The sequence below is a fragment of the Homo sapiens genome, chromosome 1, assembly GCF_000001405.40.
Source record: "Homo sapiens chromosome 1, GRCh38.p14 Primary Assembly".
Taxonomy (NCBI): domain Eukaryota; kingdom Metazoa; phylum Chordata; class Mammalia; order Primates; family Hominidae; genus Homo; species Homo sapiens.
This window is the reverse complement of record NC_000001.11, coordinates 37,946,137-37,966,150: the sequence shown is the minus strand read 5'-3', so window position 1 is coordinate 37,966,150 and position 20,014 is coordinate 37,946,137. Positions and strand designations below refer to the sequence as shown.

The 20,014-nt window shown below is 50.1% G+C and overlaps 2 protein-coding genes across 16 annotated transcripts in view, besides 3 other annotated features; both read left to right on the top strand.

The window, feature by feature from the left end:
* Positions 1–9,176, top strand: part of SF3A3 (splicing factor 3a subunit 3) — a 33,048-nt gene extending 23,872 nt beyond the window's left edge. For both annotated transcript variants that reach the window (NM_001320830.2, NM_006802.4), the window contains 2 exons: positions 5,976–6,031; positions 7,888–9,176. In NM_001320830.2, the coding sequence (NP_001307759.1) occupies positions 5,976–6,031; positions 7,888–7,965 (134 nt within the window). In that variant the 3' untranslated portion in view covers positions 7,966–9,176. The remainder of the gene's footprint in view (positions 1–5,975; positions 6,032–7,887) is intronic.
* Positions 16,867–17,540: an enhancer, noted in NCBI's record as "H3K4me1 hESC enhancer chr1:38414283-38414956 (GRCh37/hg19 assembly coordinates)". NCBI's record gives its function as "activates a minimal SCP1, AML or CMV promoter by ChIP-STARR-seq in primed H9 embryonic stem cells {active_cell/tissue: H9 hESC(primed)}" and the evidence as "EXISTENCE:reporter gene assay evidence [ECO:0000049][PMID:30033119]".
* Positions 18,747–19,276: an enhancer, noted in NCBI's record as "H3K27ac-H3K4me1 hESC enhancer chr1:38412547-38413076 (GRCh37/hg19 assembly coordinates)". NCBI's record gives its function as "activates a minimal SCP1, AML or CMV promoter by ChIP-STARR-seq in primed H9 embryonic stem cells {active_cell/tissue: H9 hESC(primed)}" and the evidence as "EXISTENCE:reporter gene assay evidence [ECO:0000049][PMID:30033119]".
* Positions 18,930–19,169: an enhancer, noted in NCBI's record as "active region_779". NCBI's record gives its function as "activates an Ori minimal core promoter by ATAC-STARR-seq in GM12878 lymphoblastoid cells {active_cell/tissue: GM12878}" and the evidence as "EXISTENCE:reporter gene assay evidence [ECO:0000049][PMID:35858748]".
* Positions 19,094–20,014, top strand: part of INPP5B (inositol polyphosphate-5-phosphatase B) — an 86,361-nt gene continuing 85,440 nt past the window's right edge. For 11 of the 14 annotated variants that reach the window (NR_158630.1, NR_158628.1, NR_158629.1 and 8 more), the window contains exons 1-2: positions 19,094–19,161; positions 19,817–19,899. Coding sequence is in view for 5 of the 14 variants with exons in the window: in NM_001365821.1 (NP_001352750.1) it covers positions 19,843–19,899 (57 nt within the window). In the remaining 9 variants the exon portion in view is untranslated. Of the gene's footprint in view, positions 19,162–19,281; positions 19,378–19,816; positions 19,900–20,014 lie in introns of those variants that run through there. The other 3 variants (NM_001365822.1, NM_001365820.1, NM_005540.3) reach the window with 2 other exon arrangements.

Below are 20,014 nucleotides of genomic sequence, written 5' to 3'. Positions count from 1 at the left end.
GCTCACTGCAACCTCCACCTCCTGGTTCCAAGCGATTCTCCTGCCTCAGCCTCCCGAGTAGCTGGAATTACAAGCGCTCGCCACCACGCCTGGCTAATTTTTTTGTATTTTTAGTAGAGACGGGGTTTTAGCATGTTGGCCAGGCTGGTCTCAAACTCCTGATCTCAGGTGACCTACCTGCCTTGGCTTCCCAAAGTACTGGGATTACAGGCGTTAGCCACCGCGCCCATCCCGGCTTTTTATATTCTTTTCAGTGGATCTATGTCACATTTCACTGTTGGCTGATTAGACAGAAGTAAGGTATTTTACCCCCCCATCCCACCCCCCACTGTTAAATTACAGGCACTTTACTCTCAGTTATGTTTAGCAGGCTGTTCAGCTGTTTGGTCAGCTTGAACCTTGGGCTTCCAACTCTGTTGCCCAGGCTGGAGTGCAGTTGTGCCATCACAGCTCACTGCAATCTCTGCCTCCCAGGCTCAAGTGATCCTCCCACTTCAGATTCCCAAGCTGATGGGACTACAGGCTTGTGCCACCATGCCTGGCTAATTTTTGTATTTTTTGTAAAGATGGTGTGTCACCATGTTGCCCAGGCTGGTCTTAAAGTCCTGTACTCAAGCAATCTGCCTGTCTCAGCCTCCGAAAGTGCTGGGATTGCAGGCGTGATCCCCGCCCAACATGCAACATGCTACAACCTGTCATTTGAAACTGTTTATATTGACAGAGATTATCTCTTCAGTGGGACTGCGCTAAGATTCTTTAACTTATATAATTTCTTGACTTCTTATGACAAAGAAAGCAAGTGCTTTATAAAACTATTCTGAGTTTATTTTCTTTTTTTTTTTTTTTTTGTGCCGATGGGGTTTCCTTATGTTGCCCAGGCTGGTCTCAAACTCCTGGGCTGAAGTGATCCTCCCACCTTGGCCCTACAAAATGCTGGGATTATAGGCATGAGGCACTGCACCCAACTTTATTTTTTTATTTTTTATTTTTTTTTGAGACAGAGTCTTGCTCTGTTGCCCAGGCTGGAATGCAGTGGCTGATCTCGGCTCACTGCAACCTTCGCCTCCTGGGTTCAAGCAATTCTTGTGCCTTAACCTCCCAAGTAGCTGGGACCACAGGTATGCACCACTACGCCCAGCAATTTTTGTATTTTTAGTAGAGACGGGGTTTCACCATGTTGGCCAGGCTGGCCTGGAACTTCTGACCTCAAGTGATGCACCCGCATTGGCCTCCCAAAGTGCTAGGATTATAGGCATGAGCCACCATGCTCATGTTAAGAGAATGACTGATATAAAGGGAAAAATAGAAGTGCCCTCAGTAAGCTTGTGTTTGAGGCTATAGAAACACAGCAGCAAAATACCTCTTGAAGAAAGTGAAGTGGAGTGCATATCAGGGAATGTGCTGCTGAAGCACATAGAGGACCACCGCCAGGCTTCCTGTTTTCCCCGCAGTGGTAGCTTTCTCTGCCATTAACATTTTCATGGCAGCCTTTTTCTTTACTTCTTTTTTTATTTCATTTCATTTAATTTCTTTTTTAATTTTTAAGACAGAGTCTTGCTCTGTCAACCAGGCTGGAGTGCAGTGGCGTGATCTCAGCTCACTGCAATCTCCACCTCCTGGTTCCAAGCGATTTCTCCTGCCTCAGCCTTCCGAGTAGCTGGAATTACAGGCGCTCGCCACCACGCCTGGCTAATTTTTTTGTATTTTTAGTAGAGACAGGGTTTTAGCATGTTGGCCAGGCTGGTCTCAAATTCCTGATCTCAGGTGACTTGCCTGCCTTGGCTTCCCAAAGTGCTGGGATTACAACACGTGTGTCTTAAAACAGTCTTTCCTCTTTCCACAACGCCTTACTGCCTTCTTTGAAATCACACTTATCACGTAATTTTTTAAGGGTTAGTCATTAAGAGTCTTTCTAGAAAGAAATCGTGTTCTCTTAGCCATACAGAGTTTGTTTTTGTTCTTGTTTTTTATTTGAGACGGAGTCTCGCACTGTCGCCAGGCTGGAGTGCAGTGGCGCAATCTCTGCTCACTGCAACCTCCACCTCCCGGGTTAAAGCGATTCTTCTGTCTCAGCCTCCCAAGTAGCTGGGACTACAGGCGTGCGCCACCACACCCAGCTAATTTTTGTATTTTTAGTAGGGATGGGGTTTCACCATGCTGGCCAAGATGGTCTTGATCTCTGACCTCATGATCTGCCCGCCTTGGCCTCCCAAAGTGCTGGGATTACAGGCATGAGCCACCATGCTTGGCTCTAATTTTTTTTTTTTTTTTTTTTTTTAAGAATATCATTGGCAGGGCCAGGCGCAATGGCTCACGCCTGTAATCCCAGCACTTTGGGAGGCTGAGGCGGGCAGATAACAAGGTCAGGAGATCGAGACCATCCTAGCTCACACAGTGAAACCCCGTCTCTACTAAAAATACAAAAAATTAGTCGGACGTTGTGGCGGGCGCCTGTAGTCCCAGCTACTTGGGAGGCTGAGGCAGGAGAATGGCGTGAACCCAGGAGGCGGAGCTTGCAGTGAGCCGAGATCCTGCCACTTTACTCCAACCTGGGCGACAGAGTGAGACTCTGTCTCAAAAAAAAAAAAGAATTATCATTGGCAGTTTCATGATTCTTCAATTGTATTACTTTCAGAATTTATCTACTTAGCTGTCTAGGTTAGTCAGTTTCTCCCTATGAATGTTGTTATTGCCACTGTTTTTGATTAGTTGTATTATTTCTACCCATCATGGCTTCCCTTGAACTTTTTAGGTTCACCACATAGCATTTGTAGTTTTATTTCTACCTCAATTTCTACTGCACCCGAACCCAGCCCCTGTCTTCTCTCTCTTTTTCTGAGACAGGGTCTTGCTCTTTGCCCAGGCTGGAGTGCAGTGGTACAATCTTGGATCACTGCAGCCTCTACCTCTTGGGCTCAAGTGATTCTCATGTCACCATTCCTGGCCTGGATTAACTTGTTTAGATCATTCTTTTGAAATTTTTATTTTCTCTCTTGGAGATTTTAGCCTGCAGCAAGAGATTCTGAACTGTCATTTAAGTTGCAGTGATTTTTTTTTTTTTTTGAGACGGAGTCTCGCTCTGTTGCTCAGGCTAGAGTGCAGTGGCGCGATCTCCACTCATTGCAACCTCCACCTCCTGTGTTCAAGCGATTCTCCTGTCTCAGCCTCCCGAGTGGCTGGGACTACAGGTGCACGCCAGCATGCCCAGCTAATTTTTTGTGTGTTTTAGTAGAGGTGGGGTTTCACTTTGTTGCCCGGGCTGGTCTCCACCTCCTGAGCTCAGGCAATCCACCCACCTCAGCTTCCCAAAGTGCTAGGATTACAGGCGTGAGCCACCGCACCCGGCCGCAGTGATTTTTTTTTTTTTTTTAACTTAGAGGGTTTTACTTATAAATTTATTATGTTAGTTATTCCATTGGTTTAGATTTATGATTTTTTTTTAACTGTACAAAAGCTAAGAAAGAGCCCTCTGAAATTGCCACCGGAAATCGCCATTTAGGTGATTGGTCGCACTTTATTAATATTCTTTTTTTTTTTTTTTTTTTTTGAGATGGAGTTTCGCTCTTGTTGCCCAGACTGGAGTGCAATAGCACGATCTCGGCCCACTGCAACCTCCACCTCCCGGGTTCAAGCGATTCTCCTGCCTCAGCCTCCCAAGTAGCAGGGATTACAGGCATGCACCACCATGCCCAGTTAATTTTGCATTTTTATTAGAGATGGGGTTTCTCCATGTTGGTCAGGTTGGTCTCGAACTCCCAACCTCAGGTGATCTGCCCACCTTAGCCTCCCAAAGTGTTGGGATTACAGGCGTGAGCCACCGCGCCCAGCCTTTTTTTTTTTTTTTTTTTTTTTTTTTTTTTTTTTTGACAGTCTCGCTCTGTCACCCAGGCTGAATTCTTGGTTAGATTCTTGAAGGGCTTTGGCAAAGAACATGACAGGGTACTGCCCTGTCACATAGTAAGCACATAACTTCTCCAGTCCTTCCTGATGTGCATATTACCTGGGCTTGAAGACTTCAGCTAATGTTTTTTTTTGTTTGTTTTGTTTTGTTTTGTTTTGTTTTTTTGAGACGGAGTTTCGCTCTTGTTGCCCAGGCTGGAGTGCAGCGGTGCGATCTCGGCTCACCCAACCTCCACCTCCTGGGTTCAAGTGATTCTCCTGCCTCAGCCTCCTGAGTAGCAGGGATTACAGGCATGCACCACCACACCTGGCTAATTTTGTATTTGTAGTAGAGATGGGGTTTCTCCATGTTGGTCAGGCTGGTCTCGAACTCCCAACCTCAGGTGATCTGCCCGCCCACCTCAGCCTCCCAAAGTGCTGGGATTACAGGCGTGAGACACCGCGCCCGGCCTTTTTTTCTTTCTTTCTTTTTTTTTTTTTTTTTTTTTTTTGGCAGTCTTGCTTTGTCACCCAGGCTGAATTCTTGGTTAGATTCTTGAAGAGCTTTGGCAAAGAATATGACAGGGTCCTGCCCTGTCACATAGTAAGCACATAACTTCTCCATTCCTTCCTGATGTGCATATTACCTGGGCTTGAAGACTTCAGCTAATTTTTTTTTGTTTTTTTGAGACGGAGTTCCACTCTTGTTGCCCAGACTGGAGTGCAGTGGTGTTATCTCGGCTCACCCCAACCTCCACCTCCCAGGTTCAAGCGATTCTCCTGCCTCAGCCTCCTGAGTAGCTGGGATTACAGGCATGCACCACCACGCTCGGCTAATTTTGTATTTGTAGTAGAGGTGGGGTTTTTCCATGTTCATCAGGCTGGTCTCGAACTCCCGACCTCAGGTGTTCCGCCTGCCTCAGCTTCCCAAAGTGCTGGGATTACAGGCATGAGCCACTGTGCCTGGCCAACTTCAGCTCATTTAAAGCAATTAGCAAAGAAGGAAAAGTTGATTAGTTGAGCACCTATGTGCCAGGTGCAGAGCTAAGCATTTTATCATATATTGTTTTATTTACTATTCATTCACCCATCTTAGGCTTTAACTGTCTCTCTGTGATATTTCTTCTAATCTTGTCAAGTTTAGATTATTCTGCTTGATGGGAAAGGTGGAAACGCAGGAATCAAGTTCTGTTTTCTCATCATCTATTGATATTTTATTATCTTCCCTCTCTGGCAGTGGACCTGTCTTATGTATTACATGTAGCCATCTGTTCTAAGAGTTCACCTTCCTGACACCATACTTTAAGATTCAAGTTGTTGGCCAGGCACAGTGGCTCATGCCTGTAATCCCAGCACTTTGGGAGGCCGAGGCGGGTGGATCACGAGGTCAGGAGATGGAGACCATCCTGGCTAACACGGTGAAACCCCATCTCTACTAAAAAATACAAAAAAAATTAGCCGGGCATGGGGGCGGGCGCCTGTAGTCCCAGCTACTCGGGAGGCTGAGGCAGGAGAATGGCGTGAACCCGGGAGGCGGAGCTTGCAGTGAGCTGAGATCACCCCACTGCACTCCAGCCTGGGCGACAGAGCGAGAGTCCGTCTCAAAAAAAAAGATTCAAGTTGTTCTTTCCCTGGTTTGTATCTGTTTTTTTCTTGTGTATACTTGTCTGATCACTCCTTCTGAAGCTACAATGATTTTTTTGGATGTCTTTACCTTTTCTCCTTCATAGAGATTGTTATTGAACTATTAGAATTTTTATATTATGAGCTTTAAGAAAGTAAAGTCACTTTCCCCATTATTCTCATAGGTTGTTCCACATTAACCTCCTTCAAGAGTATCAGTTTCTCTGTTTTCGGAGGTCTTTGGTTATATTTGATCCAACTTTTATAGCAAAGCAAGATCATGATGAATTTTGCAGTGGAAAGGGTTTTGTCTATAGGTGGTCCAGAACCAAAACTCTGGTTTGGGGTAGGCAAGAATCTCAAAGGCAGAGTCTTCTAGGGAGCATCCTAATGGCAGGGAGAGAGGATTATAACACTGGATACCCAACAGATGTTCAGTCCATCCTGATTGCTGTTCATTTCTCATCCTGCAGTGTGGGCCAAACTGAAATTGCAGAAGGCTTCAGAACGATGGCAGCCTGACACTGAGGTGGGTACTAATGTGGATGGTGTTAGGGATAGTGTCAAGTGATAGAGAGCTCCCTCACCATGTAGAAAGGAGGTGAAAGATGGTCCCTGGTGTACTGCAGCAGCGAGTAGAATGTGACAATATCTACAAATTGACTTTTCCTTTTTTTTTTTTTTTTTTTTTGACACGGAGTCTCGTACTGTTGCCCGGGCTGGAGTGCAGTGGTGCAATGTCAGCTCACTGCAACTTCCGCCTCCTGGGTTCCAGCAATTCTCCTGCCTCTGTCTCTCGAGTAGCTGAGATTACAGGCGCCCGCCACCACACCCGACTAATTTTTGTATTTTTAGTAGCGACAGGGTTTCACCATGTTGGCCAGACTGGTCTCAAACTCCTCACCTCAGGTGATCCACCCATGCACGCCTGTAGTCCCAGCTACTTGGGAGGCCTAGGCACGAGAATCACTTGAACTGGGGAGGTAGAGGTTGCATGAGCCGAGATTGTGCCACTGCACTCCAGCCTGGGTGACAGAGCAAGACTCTTTCTCAAAAAATAATAATAATAATAATTAGCCAAGTGTGGTGGCGCATGCTAGTAGTCCCAGCTAATTGGGACTGAGGCAGGAGGAACGCTTGAGCCCAGGAATTTGAGGCAGCTGCTGAGCTATGATCATACCACTGCACTCCAGTCTGGGTGACAGAGTAAGACCCTGTCTCTTTAACAACAAAAAGACAGATTGTATTCTGCCATTCAAATTTTGAAATGGGCCAGGTGCAGCAGTTCATGCCCATAATCCCAGCACTTTGGGAGGCCAAAGCAGGCAGATCACTTGAGCCCAGGAATTGGAGACCAGCCTGGGCAACATGGTGAAACCATATCTCTACAAAAAATACAATAATTAGCGGGGAGTGGTGGCACATGCCTGTGGTCCCAGCTGTTCAGGAGGCTGAAGCAGGAGGATTGCTTGAGCCCAGGCTGTCGAGGGTGCAGTGAGCTGTGATCGCACCATTGCACTCCAGCCTGGGTGACAGAGCAAGAACTTACCTCACAAAAAAAAAAAAAAGAAAAAAAAGTTGAAATGGCAAGTGGGAGTACCCAATCTCATGTTCTGCCATGGAGATTTATAGACTAAAATGCCGAGACTCTGTATCATGTATTAGATCTCCTTTGAGGAAAGCATCTAATGAGAGATGATACTCTCATAGCGACAGGGAGATGTCCTTGTTGGTCTTATGATGGTCATCCCAAGCAGCAGGTTTCAGAGATCAAGAATGACATGTATGTAAGGAATGGTACTGACTCACTCCAAGTCCCATAGTAACTGACAATAGCCTCCCTTTTTTTGAGTCAGTGGTTTTCAGTATTTTTTTTCTTTTTGGCAGCAAAACTCTCTTCCACTTGTAATATAGTACTCTGATATATAAAATAGAATCAAGCAGAATTGCCCTGGACATGGGGAAGCTCAGACTTCCTGGCTTCCCTTTCAACCCCTGCAATGGCCTCTGAGCAGAATCCTGGGATTCTTGGGAACCATTTGAAAACTGCTGTTGTAGGTCAGCCTTTCTCAACCAGGGTTCCCCATCTTAAACATAGAGAGCTAAATAAACTATTTTCTCAGATACTCTAATGATGGGTCATGACTGATATCATTCTAGATGTCTACGAGAGAAGTTAATTCATTGCACACGGTGGCTGCTTTGGGGCAGTGGGACTTAATTCTCTTGTGGAACCCCAGTTGAGAAAGGCTTAGATGAATGCCAATCTTAGTGTACCAGAGTATGCCATGGAATCAGGCCAGGATGAGCTCAGGTACTTAGAGATTGGTTCCAAACATTTCTTTTAGGAGAGCTGTCTAACAAAGTGTACCCCTTCCTTTTCAGGAAGAATATGAAGACTCAAGTGGGAATGTTGTGAATAAGAAGACATACGAGGATCTGAAAAGACAAGGACTGCTCTAGTGTTCAGGGATGTAGCTCAGCTTTTGGGCTAGCCCAGGCTTCCCTAAGATCTGCTTTTTCTATTTCTCCCAACCAAATCCTCTTAAAGACCCTTTGCTATGTAGTCTCATGGTCTAGCATGCATCTTGTAGAAACAAGGCATGCTGGCAGATTGCAGGGTTGAGATGTGTTTTATCTGTTTTATATTTTAAAAGATTCTGCCAGAAAATAAAACCAGACCTTGTTCTAAAGCCCAGGGTTATGGACCAACTCAGTGCTTCAGGTCTTAACGCCTCCATACCTCTTCCTCACCAACTTTACTAGTAGCTGAGATTTAATGGGCACCTATTATGCTACATATCATGTTAGGTAAATCTGACCTGACCTCTTTCCCCACCCTCCTTTGTTGCTGCTTCCCTGAATGAGTATTACCCCAGGATGAGGTCTGCCATCAGCTTAGTTAGCCATTGATGCAAATACTAGGGAAAGACTAGGAGGATGAGCCAGGGTTGCTACTAAGGACTAAGTGTCGCACCAAGGTTTGCCTTTTGTATTTGCATAAAGAAAGGAGTTGGAGCTGGGTGCAGTGGCTTGTGCCTGTAGTCCCAGCTACTTGGGAGGCTGAGGCAGGAGGGTTGCTTGAGACTAGCCTAGGTAACATAGTGAGACCCTGTCTCATTAAAAAAAAAAAAAAGGCATGGTGGCACGCACTGTAGTCCCAGCTACTCAGGAGACTGAGGCTAGAAGATCCTTTGAACCTAGGAGTTTGAGACCAGCCTGGGCGATATAGTGAGGCCCCATCTCAAAAAAAAAAAAAGGGGGGGGGGGGGGAGTTGGGCTGTGTTGGAATGGGCCTGCAGCCCAACAAACAAGGGAACTAGGACCGACAGTGACTTCACCAGCTTGCTAGGTCAGAATGAGAGACTGGTGGGTCTGTCTACCTGTTTCTTCTACAAGATCCCTATTTGACTGTAAAAGTAGCTAATACTCACATGTTCTCCAATCCCAGGTAGCCATGGTAGAGTTGGGTAGAGTTGAGCAGCTGCCCCAGGATCCAAATGTGGTGTCTGAAATGGAAAGAACTAAGGCAACCAGGAAGGCACTGATCTGCCTTATAAGCACAGTCATCTGAAAGTCAGGCCTGCTGCAGGACAGGATCCCCCAGAGACCCCATTTGCCTCTCAACACTCAGACCTTCAACTGTTTTTTAATAAATCTACTTTTTAAAAAAATGTTAATCTTTTTCTTTATATTACACATTTATATCTTATTTTTCTAAAAACCTACCAAGAACCAGTGCCGCACTCATCCCATGCAGAGGCAGGCTGGCTAATATATCTACTTTTAAAAATTCCAACTCAGGCCATGCGCAGTAGCTGATGCCTGTAATCCAAACACTTTGGGAGGCCGAGGGCAGCAAATTACTTGAGGTCAGGAGTTGGAGACCAGCCTGGCCAACATGGCGAAACCCTGTCTCTACTAAAAATACAAAAATTAGCCAGGCGTGATGGCATGCACCTGTAGTCCCAGGTACTCAGGAGACTGAGGCAGGAGGATCACTTGAACCCAGGAGGCGAAGGTTGCCATGAGCCGAGATCACGCCACTGCACTCCAGCCTGGGTGACAGCGAGACTCCGTCTCAAAAAAAAAAAAAAAAAAATCCCAACTTGAATTAGCCTTCTGCCTCACACCAATCTTTTGCCCTGGTTATTTCCATGGCAGTAAAGTTTCACCACCCCCACCCCAGTGGCACTGCACTCTAGGTTGGTATTTTCCTTCCTAGTTCAGCCCATCCCTGTGCAACTCATTCCCTTGTGCCTTCACTCCTTCATTTAAGACTCCAGGTCGGGTGCAGTGGCTCATGCCTGTAATCCCAGCACTTTGGGAGGCCGAGGCAGGCGGATCACTTGAGGTCGGGAGTTCAAGACCAGCCTGACCAACATAGAGAAACCCTGTCTCTACTAAAAATACAAAATTAGCCAGGCGTGGTGGCACATGCCTGCGATCCCAGCTACTTGGGAGGCTGAGGCAGGAGAATCACTTGAACCTGGGAGGCGGAGGTTGCAGTGAGCCGAGATCGCGCCATTGCACTCCAGCCTGGGCAACAAGAGTGAAACTCTGTCTCAAAAAAATAAGACTCCAGTTGGACAGCCTCTCCAGGGCCTGAGCTGAAGCAGAGTGAGTGAATAATTAAACCTAATTGAGCCAACTGGAAACACTGATTAGTGGAAACTGGCCCAAAGTGCAAGGAGACATTGCCATTTGAGAAGAGAGTTAAAGCGTTGGAATGGGAAATGTGGGGAGAAGACGGCCCTTCAGACTGCTCGTCAGAACAGGGGCTGCATTGGGCTACCAAGGAATGCACCTGCTACTTTCCAGCTGTTGGAGTCCTCAAAACCCTGTCTTGAGGCTACCTGGGACTCCAGGGTTAATAGGTTCTCCCTCTACAGTGTGGAGAGGAAGTGGGACCAGGTCCTAAGGAGTCCTGCCATCCCCTTGCCCAGTAACTGCAGTCAGTGTGCGAACTCTGTGCCAGAACAACCTTGGAGGGAACCTCGGGCTTACCTGTCACAGCAAAGGCTTGTTCATTTGTTACCTTCATTCATTCAGGGTTTTTTTAGTGCCTTCCATGTGCCAGGCACAGCTAGATCAAACCTTGAAAACTAAAGCGGAGGTGAGACAGTGAGGGCAGAAGCCAGAGGTGAAGAAGCTCAGCAGCAGCCTCTGGGCACGCAGGAAGAGCCATATGGCCAGCTCCATCCAGCTGCAAGGGGCACAGCTGTTTTCTGAGGTGAAGGCAAACCACATCAGAATTGGTTCTCAGAGGTGATCCTTCAGGTTTGGACTCCATAGGGTCAACCAAAGGAAGAGAATTTCAATTGACCACCTGCCTCAGCCTCCCAAAGTGCTGGGATTTCAGTCATGAGCCACTGTGCCCAGCCAAGAATCTTTCTTAGACATGGAGTCGGAACCTTTGCCAATGCACTTACTGCTGGGAACAGTTAATTCAATTAGCTCTTCATGGAGGAAAGCTGCAGGGAGCATTTAGGGAGTTGTTCCTGGGATTGACCCTCAGATTGGTGCTGCTAAACCCAGAGGCTGCACCTGGAATGAGCCCTCCCAGGAGGAGTCTTTACTCTCTACTTCTCAGATGAAAGTGAAGAAATCTGTCTCTGGCTTCAACCAGGTATCCCTTTCTTCTCCATTTTCTGTCCATTTCCCTCCCTGGGGTCAACTTGTGCTGGAGGGCTCTGTGAAGGGAGCACCCTAAAGGTAACCAATGTGTTGGGGAAGTGAAGTTGTGAGATATTTCTCTCCCTCTGCATTAAAAAAAAAAAAAATCCTTGGGATGATAGCAACCTTTCTCCTCATCCTTCAGGTCCTACTGTCAGCCTCAGCTCAGAGTTCTCAGGGTGGGAATGAACCTGTGACCCTCTCCACCCTCATCCAGAAGAGTCCTCCCATTACAGGTCCACCCTGGGAGGACACTGGTCTCCTCTCCCTCTGATCTCTTCTGAGAGCCCTCTCCACCTGCCAGGTTTCCGATCCAGACAAATAAGGCACCTCCCAGTGGGATGCTGGGACAGCGGTCTTTTGATCTGCTCAAGTGGCTTTATTTTCTCCCTCCAACTACAGTCTGGGCAGCAGCTATGCTTTCTTCTTTTCTGTGGTCCCTGTGTGTCCCTGGTGGCAGCAACATGAGAGGCAAATCCCAGAGGTGACAAGTGATTGGAGGGGAGGAGAAAGGGCAGCTTCCAGTTTCCAGGGGCGGCAGCTGTAGCCTCCCTGCCTTGTGCATGCACACTCACAGCCCTCTGCACCTTCAAGTGTGCAGGTAGGTCTATAGCTGGGATAGGGTGGGGCACAGAGAATATTGAGAATATGCTCTAGCCATGGAGGGGCACACAGACTAAAGGAGATGGACAAGAAGCCTGGATTAATACAGCCTAGGAGGTACCCATCTATCTTTGCCCAGCCTTCTGATTCTGCTCAGTGTCTGTCCACCTGCCCCATCATATTCCTGAGATGTCCCTCCAGCCTCAACTGTGCAAAGTAAGGAGGAGGAAAGGGGCTTCTGTGGGAAGCCTGGGCTCTTCACAAAGCTTCAGGGACCTGGGTAGAACCTTTGAGCCCTTTGAACCTTTGGCCTTTGGAAACCGAAGTCCCCTTGGAGAGGGGCTGACTGTGTAAAAACTTCATTTGGCCGGGCGCGGTGACTCACACCTGTAATCCAAACACTATGGGAGGCCAGGCACGGTGGCTCACACCTGTCATCCAAACACTATGGGAGGCCAAGGCAGGCAGATCATGAGGTCAGGAGATCAAGACCTTTCTGGCCAACATGGTGAAACCCCATCTCTACTAAAAATACAAAAATTAGTCGGGCATGGCAGCACGCACCTGTAGTCCCAGCTACCCGGGAGGCTGAGGCAGGAGAATTGCTTGAACCCGGGAGGCAGAGGCTACAGTGAGCCGAGATCGCACCACTGCACTCCAGCCTGGGCGACAGAGTGAGACTCTGTCTCGCTCTGTCACTTTTTTTTTTTTTTTGTAAGACGGAGTCTCGCTCTGTCGCCCAGGCTGGAGTGCAGTGGTGCAATCTCGGCTCAGGGCAGCCTCTGCCTCCCGGGTTCAAGCAATTCTCCTGCCTCAGCCTCCCGAGTAGTTGGGACTACAGGTGTGCGCTGCCACACCTGGCTAATTTTTTCATGTTTTTGGTAGAGACGGGGTTCCACCATATGGGCCAGGCTGGCCTTGAACTCCTGACCTCATGATCCACCTGCCTTGGCCTCTCAAAGTGCTGAGATTACAGGTGTGAGCCACCGTGCCCGGCCCCAAAAACTTTTTTTTTAACAAGGTCTCACTGTTACCCAGGCTAGAGTGCAGTGGCATGATCATAGCTCACTGCAGCCTCCCAACTCTCAGGCTCAAGTGACCTCCCCACCTCAGCCTCCCAAGTAGCTAGGACTACAGATGCACACCTCCATGCCCAGCTAATTTTTTGTAGAGAAGGGAATCTCACTATCTTGCCCAGGCTGGTCTTGAAATTCTGGCCTGAAGCAGTTCTCCTGCCCCAGCCTCCTGAGTCACTGGGATTATAGGTGTGAGCCACCATGCCCAGCAAGAGAACTGTTTCTTGAGTGTAGTGTTTGTTGGTGGGGGGGACGGATGGGCAACAGAGAGGCTGACACCATCAGAAGGGCCCAACCCAGGAGTCCTTGCTGCACACTCTCCTGTGTATCGCATCACCCTGGCTGCTGTCACTTGAGAGACAAGTCTGAGTGCTGATGGAGGATTACATCCATGAGGGCAGGGAAACAGATGCCCCATTAGCATTGGGAATGGTAGGGTCTGGGTTGTGCTCAGCTTCCAGGGCTGGGCGAGAAGATAGGAATAATGCCCCACTCTCATCTCTAGCAGTTTCCTACCTTGTATGGAAAAACCTAAACCCAGGCTTAGCAGACCTTTCTAGGTGTGGCCCCTTAGTGTTGCAGGGGGCAGAGTCTGGGATCCAGGAACCCAAAGTCTGAGAGCTACCTCCTATCTTTGGCTCAGCACTCATTTAGGGACAGGCTGGGGTCTGAATCCTGAAGAACACTTGGACAAAGTGAGTCTGGACTTTTGACCCTCTGTGGCCTAGGGTTTTCCTGCCCTGGGTTCTGAGGAAGCCCATGACTCCCACCTTCCCACACCCGGGCACCTTCTGACGTTGGCAGCAAATGAGACCAGATCAGAGTCACTGGGTATGTATTTCCTGTCACTGCACCTGCTCCAGTTCTGCCTCCCCTCAGGCTGGGATGCTGCTGTTGCCATGCCAGTGACAAAATGTGTCTCGGGGGGCTGTTACTGGGATGCAGGCCCCTTTGTGCCTGCCCCAGTGTCACTCTGACAGTATGACTTGCAGGAAGCGAAAGCTGAGCCCCTGAGACCTCTTATTCCCTAAAGGTTGACCCACCCCCACCCTAGTTCCCCAGCCTCAATTTATTCATCTGCATAGTACAGTAATGGAAATTTTGCTTGTAGGTTTCCTCAGCTGGCCAGAACTGGTCCTTCCCTCTCTCTGGCTCCTGCAGCACCTCAGTTGAAGATGTATGTGGCCAATGGTAGCCACAGAGCTGCTTTGCTCAGAGGTAGCTGTCCTCAGCCCAGGGATCCTGGCCTTTCCTGGACCATGACTACTGCTGGACCCTGGGACTGCCCCTACTTTTCCCTAAGTTCATGACCTCTTCCACTTAACTGCTGCATGACCTTTCTTTGACCTATGACCTTTGAGCTGGTTATGGCCTTGAACTCCTGACCTCATGATTCACCTGCCTCAGCCTCTGCAGTGGCTCCCTCTCTCCTTTTCCTCCTATCAGTCCTCCTGCTGGCCTTACTGGTAGCCCAGAACCTGGCAAGCAGTCAGTTGACCCCTGCTCCTGTCCAGGTAAGCAGCATATGAGGGAGGGGACAGCCTTCCTAATGCCTTCAGCCCCAGGCGTGTGACCACAGTGGTCAAACCTTTCCGCAGATATGCCACAACTTCCACTGCCTCGGAGAGATGTGCTACCAGGAGGAAAAGTTCTCCAACCAGACCACAGAGTGTTAGCCCGGGCAGCACCACTGCGAGGTGTGGGGCTGGGGCTGTGAGGGACCCAAGCCAGGGTACTTCTCAGAGGTGAAGGAGAGTGGAGGGAGGCCATTGGAAGGGGGATTGACATTCAGGTACAGTAAGGTGCAGGAACAGATCCTGAAGCGGGAGGGAGAGGAGTCAGTATCTGGGATGCTGGGAACGTGGAGCTATGGCCCAGGCCTGGCTGTGCCCCCATCCTCCTGGACATGCCTGCATTCTCTCTACCCAGCTGATTCAACTCAACGCTTCCCACTACATGGCCTGGTGCAGCTTCAGCTGTGAAGGGGGAAATGAAACCGGTCCTAGCCCTTGTCTGCTGTCCAATAGCTCAGCCCCCAGCCCAGACCCCTGCAGGCTGCAGTGCTGCAATGGAGGGCCACTCTGTTTCGTGCTCAATGAGTCAGCCTGGGGTGAGACAGCCCCACCCTTAATACTCAGCCCTGCCCCGCCAACCTGCAGCTCCCAGCCCCATTCCTCAGAGCCCCCACCTCTGACTCCCATTCCTACTCATCCACAAGCTCAGAGCCCTTCTGCACACTAACCCTCAACTTTGAACCCAGCCCTTTGAGAGGCCCTCAAATCTCAGCTCAATTTTCACCAGCCCCCCCAACCTCTATGAATATGCTAACCTCTAGGCCTTTTCTGACTGACCCCTACCTTTTTTTCTTTTGTTTTTTTGAGACAGAGTCTTGCTCTGTCACCCAGGCTTATGCAGTGGCGCGATCTCGGCTCACTGCAAGCTCCGCCTCCCGGGCTCACCCAATTCTCCTGCCTCAGCCTCCCGAGTAGCTGGGACTACAGGCGCCCGCCGCCATGCCTGGCTTATTTTTTGTATTTTTTTAGTAGAGACGGGGTTTCACCATGTTAGCCAGGATGGTCTCGATCTCCTGACCTCGTGATCCACCCGCCTCGGCCTCCCAAAGTGCTGGGATAACAGGCATGAGTCACGGCGCCCGGCCCTGACCCTTACCTTTAATGTCTTCCTAGGCCAGGCATGGTGGCTCATGCCTGTAATCCCAGCACTTTGGGAGGCCAAGGCGGGTGGATCATGAGGTCAGGAGATCGAGACAGGCCAAGGCAGGTGGATCATGAGGTCAGGAGATCGAGACCATCCTGGCTAACATGGTGAAACCCCATCTCTACTAAAAATACAAAAAATTAGCCGGGCATGGTGGTGCTGGGCGCTTGTAGTCCCAGCTACTCTGTAGGCTGAGGCAGGAGAATGGCATGAACCTGGGAGGCGGAGCTTGCACTGAGCCAAGATCTCACCACTGCACTCCAGCCTGGGCGACAGAGAGAGACTCCACCTCACCACAAAAAAAAAAAACAAAAAAAAAAACTCTGCCTTCCTCATTAGCTCCCCAAGTCTGAGCTTTCTACCTTTGGTGCCCCACCCCCTCTCAGATTCCCCACTCCTAACATCCCCACCATTCCCCAGTCCAGCCCATCCAGCACTCCCCTCCCCAACAAGCTACAAAGAGGCCTGGGGCAAGCACCTGTGCTCATCTAGGCCGTGGTGGGGGAGATGTCAGGTTGTGAGCTGCCCACACACATCATGCTCTCCCTGGGGGCAAGGCAGGGGGTCAGGGCTTTACAGAGGTGTCACAGCACTTCCCCAGGCAGTCCTGCTCTGCTCCTAGGCCTAGCCCACCCGACGATCCCAGAGGACAAGCTACATTCCATTCCACCCCTGGTGACCACCACCTTGCCAGCCCTCCAGGGAAATGTGTCTCATTCTCACCTGCCTCCTCTAGGAAGTGGAGGCAGGAATGGACAGCGTGTGGTGGATGGGGCCAGTGACACAGGCATGATAGGGCTCCAGCCTTGCCTCTGTCCAGCATTTACCACCTGTTCAGTCTGCACAGAGCTCCCAAACCTCCTCCTGCTTTCTCTTCCAGAAGAAAATCTGTGCTACTTTCTCCTGCCAAGGTGGTGACTGTTTCAAAGGGCCGAAAGCTGTGGCCATGTGCCCTGAGGGCTTGGACTTCTGTGAGGTGAGCCCTGCGATGCTCCAAGAATTAGGGAGCTCTCCTCCCTCAGAGCTGCATGGCTTTCTCCTTCTACCTGGAGTGGGTAGCTCAGCAGTAGAATCTGGCTGGAGCTAGACCTGCTGGGAGCAGCCGTGGGGTCTAGCAAGCTTGACCCCCTCAGCTCTGCATGATGCCAACACCAAAGGCAGCAACTGGAATTTTCCATACCTCCACGATGTGCCCCTTTTTTTCTGACCACCCTGTATGTTCACTAGGAACTCACTGATCTTGTGGGCAGGAAGCTAGGGGTCCAAGGAGGTTGAGCTCAACCCATGACCCACTTAACACTTTCTGCCTTTGAGTGGGGAAGAGGGGCAAGGGGAAGATGAATGGTCCCACCTCTTCTTGCAGCTGAAATGCTCCAGCTCAGGTTACATTGCAGGCTGCAGCCAGGCCTGTGAAGCAGGGACCTCCCAGTGTCATGGGGCTGTGGCCCCACCCTGCTACCAGGAGTGCTGTCAAGCCTCAACCTCAGGCAGCTGCCTTCAGCTGGATGGGAAACTTCACTTCAACCAGGCAGCTCCTGGGGCCACCAGAAACCCCCTGCACTGGGCCCTGGCTGTGGCTATGCTACTTCTCCTCCACTCTGCTCTGCTCCTATTCCTGCTCCCCTAGCTGGGCCCAGCAGAATCTGGGAGCAGCAGTCAAGAAGACCCTGTAGGATCTACAAGCCTTCAGGTCCCCCTCCAGCTCTGATTCCTGTAGTTGCATCTTTAGTAAAAGGCCTTTATCAAGCCCACAGCTCTGGGCTTAAGGCTCCTCACTTCTCCCCTTCTAGGGCCTAGGCCTGACCATGGAACCCCCCAAGGGGGCAGGCCCTCAGCCCTAATCTCAGGGAGAGGATAGGGTTTGTCTGGAAAAACAGAAAACCTCCTGCCTGACCCCCACCCAGTGGGAGGACCCCCAAATCCTGCAGGGACAGTTTCTTCATCATAAAAAGCACACAGCCCCATCTACTTTGCCCAGACCCTCCTCGCCAGGCTTTGACACTAGAGCAGGGCTGGAATTGGGGTTCCTCTGCTTCCCTGCAGTGACCCCACCCCTTGATCCTAAGGGTCTGAGTCAATCCCCTTTCCCCTCATCGTCCACATGACTTAGACACTGAATTCAAATAAACTTGAGCTCCATTTGTGCTGTGGATGTTTCCAGGAAAAGAAATGGATTGAGAAGAAGGCAACGACTGTTTCTGGAAGGGGTTTACATATGCAAAGTTGAACTGGTCATTAGGATGGCCACTTCACTTGGGGAAAGAGGAAGGGAAACTGTTCACAAGTCACAACAGTCACCCCCTCCCCAGCACTGAAGGCCCATTCCTTCAGTTTGGGCCAAAGCTTGAGAGAAGGTGTATTTATTAAAATAGTTCAGAAAGTAATTCACTAACTCCATAGATAACTGTGTGCCAGAAACTGCTGGTATGTTGATGAAAAGGCATAGTCCTGTCCAACGGGAGCTTACAGCTTAATTAAACAGCCAATAGGCCAAGTGAGAATGATCCTAGCATTCCTTATCTGAGCTGGGTGAGCAATCACAGCTCACTGCAGCCTTGAACTCCTGGGCTCAAGCAATCCTCCCACCTCAGCCTCCCAAGTAGCTGGGACTACAGGCATGCACCACCATACCCGGCTAAATTTAAAAAAATTTTTTTTTAGAGATGGGGTCTCAAACTCCTGGCCTCAAGCGATCCTCCCTCCTTGGCCTTCCAAAGTGCCGGGATTACAGACATGAGCCACTGTGCCCAGTCCCTGTGCTGGCTCTTTTTGTCCATCTTGGGTAACCTCCTTATCTTAGATGGGGAAATTGAGTCCCAAGGGAAGAAAGGTCTTGGCCAAGGTCACAAAGCCAGGCGGATCAGGGGAAGGACGTTGCCGGACAGGAACAGTGTCATACCCTTTATAAAGTGCGTTCACACCCAGTAGCCTCAAACAGCCCTGTGTGGCAGGAGGGCTGGGTGGGGCTAAGGGAGGAAATAGGGCAGTGTGTAGCGGTATAAATGGCCCAGGAGTTGCAGTCAGACTTTCAGTGGAGTCCCAGTGTTGCCACCTGCTAGCTGCAGGACTTAATGTCAAACTGCTTAACCTATCCAAGGCTCAGTTTCTCCACCTGGAAAATGGACATAATGGTTCTTCATAGTCTGGTTCTCCCTCCATTAAACCAGGAGAAGGTAGTTATTTTAGGGGAAGAGTTTCAGTAGAGGTCCGGGTTGTCTACCCTGGAGTGAGAAGAGCTGAGGATGGAACTAAGGAGAAAATAAAAATGCATTATATTCTTCCCCTAAGATAAAATGTGACCATCTTCCTTCTGGGTGGGAAGCTCTGGCCCCATGACCTAGAGGGCTGGGGATGGGAGTGAGGGCAATCATTAGAAAACCTTTCTGGTATAGGAAGCCCAGTGTACCCCAGGGCCTAAGGGGTTAACACGGATGGAGAGACTCCCCACCCCACGATTGACTCGGGCATGCTGGGACTTGCAGGCTGACTGACCACCATGTGGCGCAGGGGCTGTTGGGAAATGTAGTCACTGTCCCGGAACCTGGGGCAGCGGAGTCCCGTGCGCCCTGTGGTGACAGCTCAGGAGGTAGGTGACAATGTCAGGGAGCTGTGGGTGGGAGCAGAGCAGGAAAGCCAGGGCAGGGCTGGGCAGGAGGGAGTGGGCAAGCTGAGGGCTGGGACACCCCCCAACCCCCGGCCTGCAGCTGATGCAATGGGCCTGCTGGGGCGGGGGTGAAGGGCAAGCAGCAATGGGACACTTCCTGTCTCCAAGGAAAGAGGAATGGGACCCTCCTGAATGACAGTAAGGGGATGTTCCCTGAACCCCACATGGACACACCACTGACACCTCCCAGAGAGGCGCTAGCAGAACAAAAACTGTCCCCAAAAGAGAGGAAGAGCCATGTCCTAGGAGCAAAGGGACTAGGTCCCCTTCTCCAATCCACGTACCCCACTTCCAACAAGGATAGACCACACTCAAGAGCAACTGGATGCCCTCCCAGACAAAGGCAGTATAGCAAACTGTAGATCCCAGCGGGGCAAAGGGACTGGACCCCTATCCCTAAAAACTGAAAGGCCTATTCTAGGGAGGACAAAGAGGAGGAGGAGGAGGATCAGGCCTCCCCGGTACCATCTCCCTCTGCAAAGGCCCCTCCCTCCTGCCCCCAACCCCTCTGAGGCAGCTCCACCACCCCATGCGTAACTTGTTGACCAAAGCGGGGCTCCTATCTCCCCTCCCACAGGGTGTGTGCGCTCAGCAGGGGCCAGCATGGACCAGTCTGTGGCAATCCAGGAGACGCTGGCTGAGGGGGAATACTGCGTCATCATATCCTTCCTGTGCTAACTGCGGCCCTGAGCCTGCCCTGGCCTTGGGAAGAGGAATGGAAGGTGTCGAGGTGTCTATCCCCTCTCCTGCCCCTCTGAACCATCAGGGGAGAAGG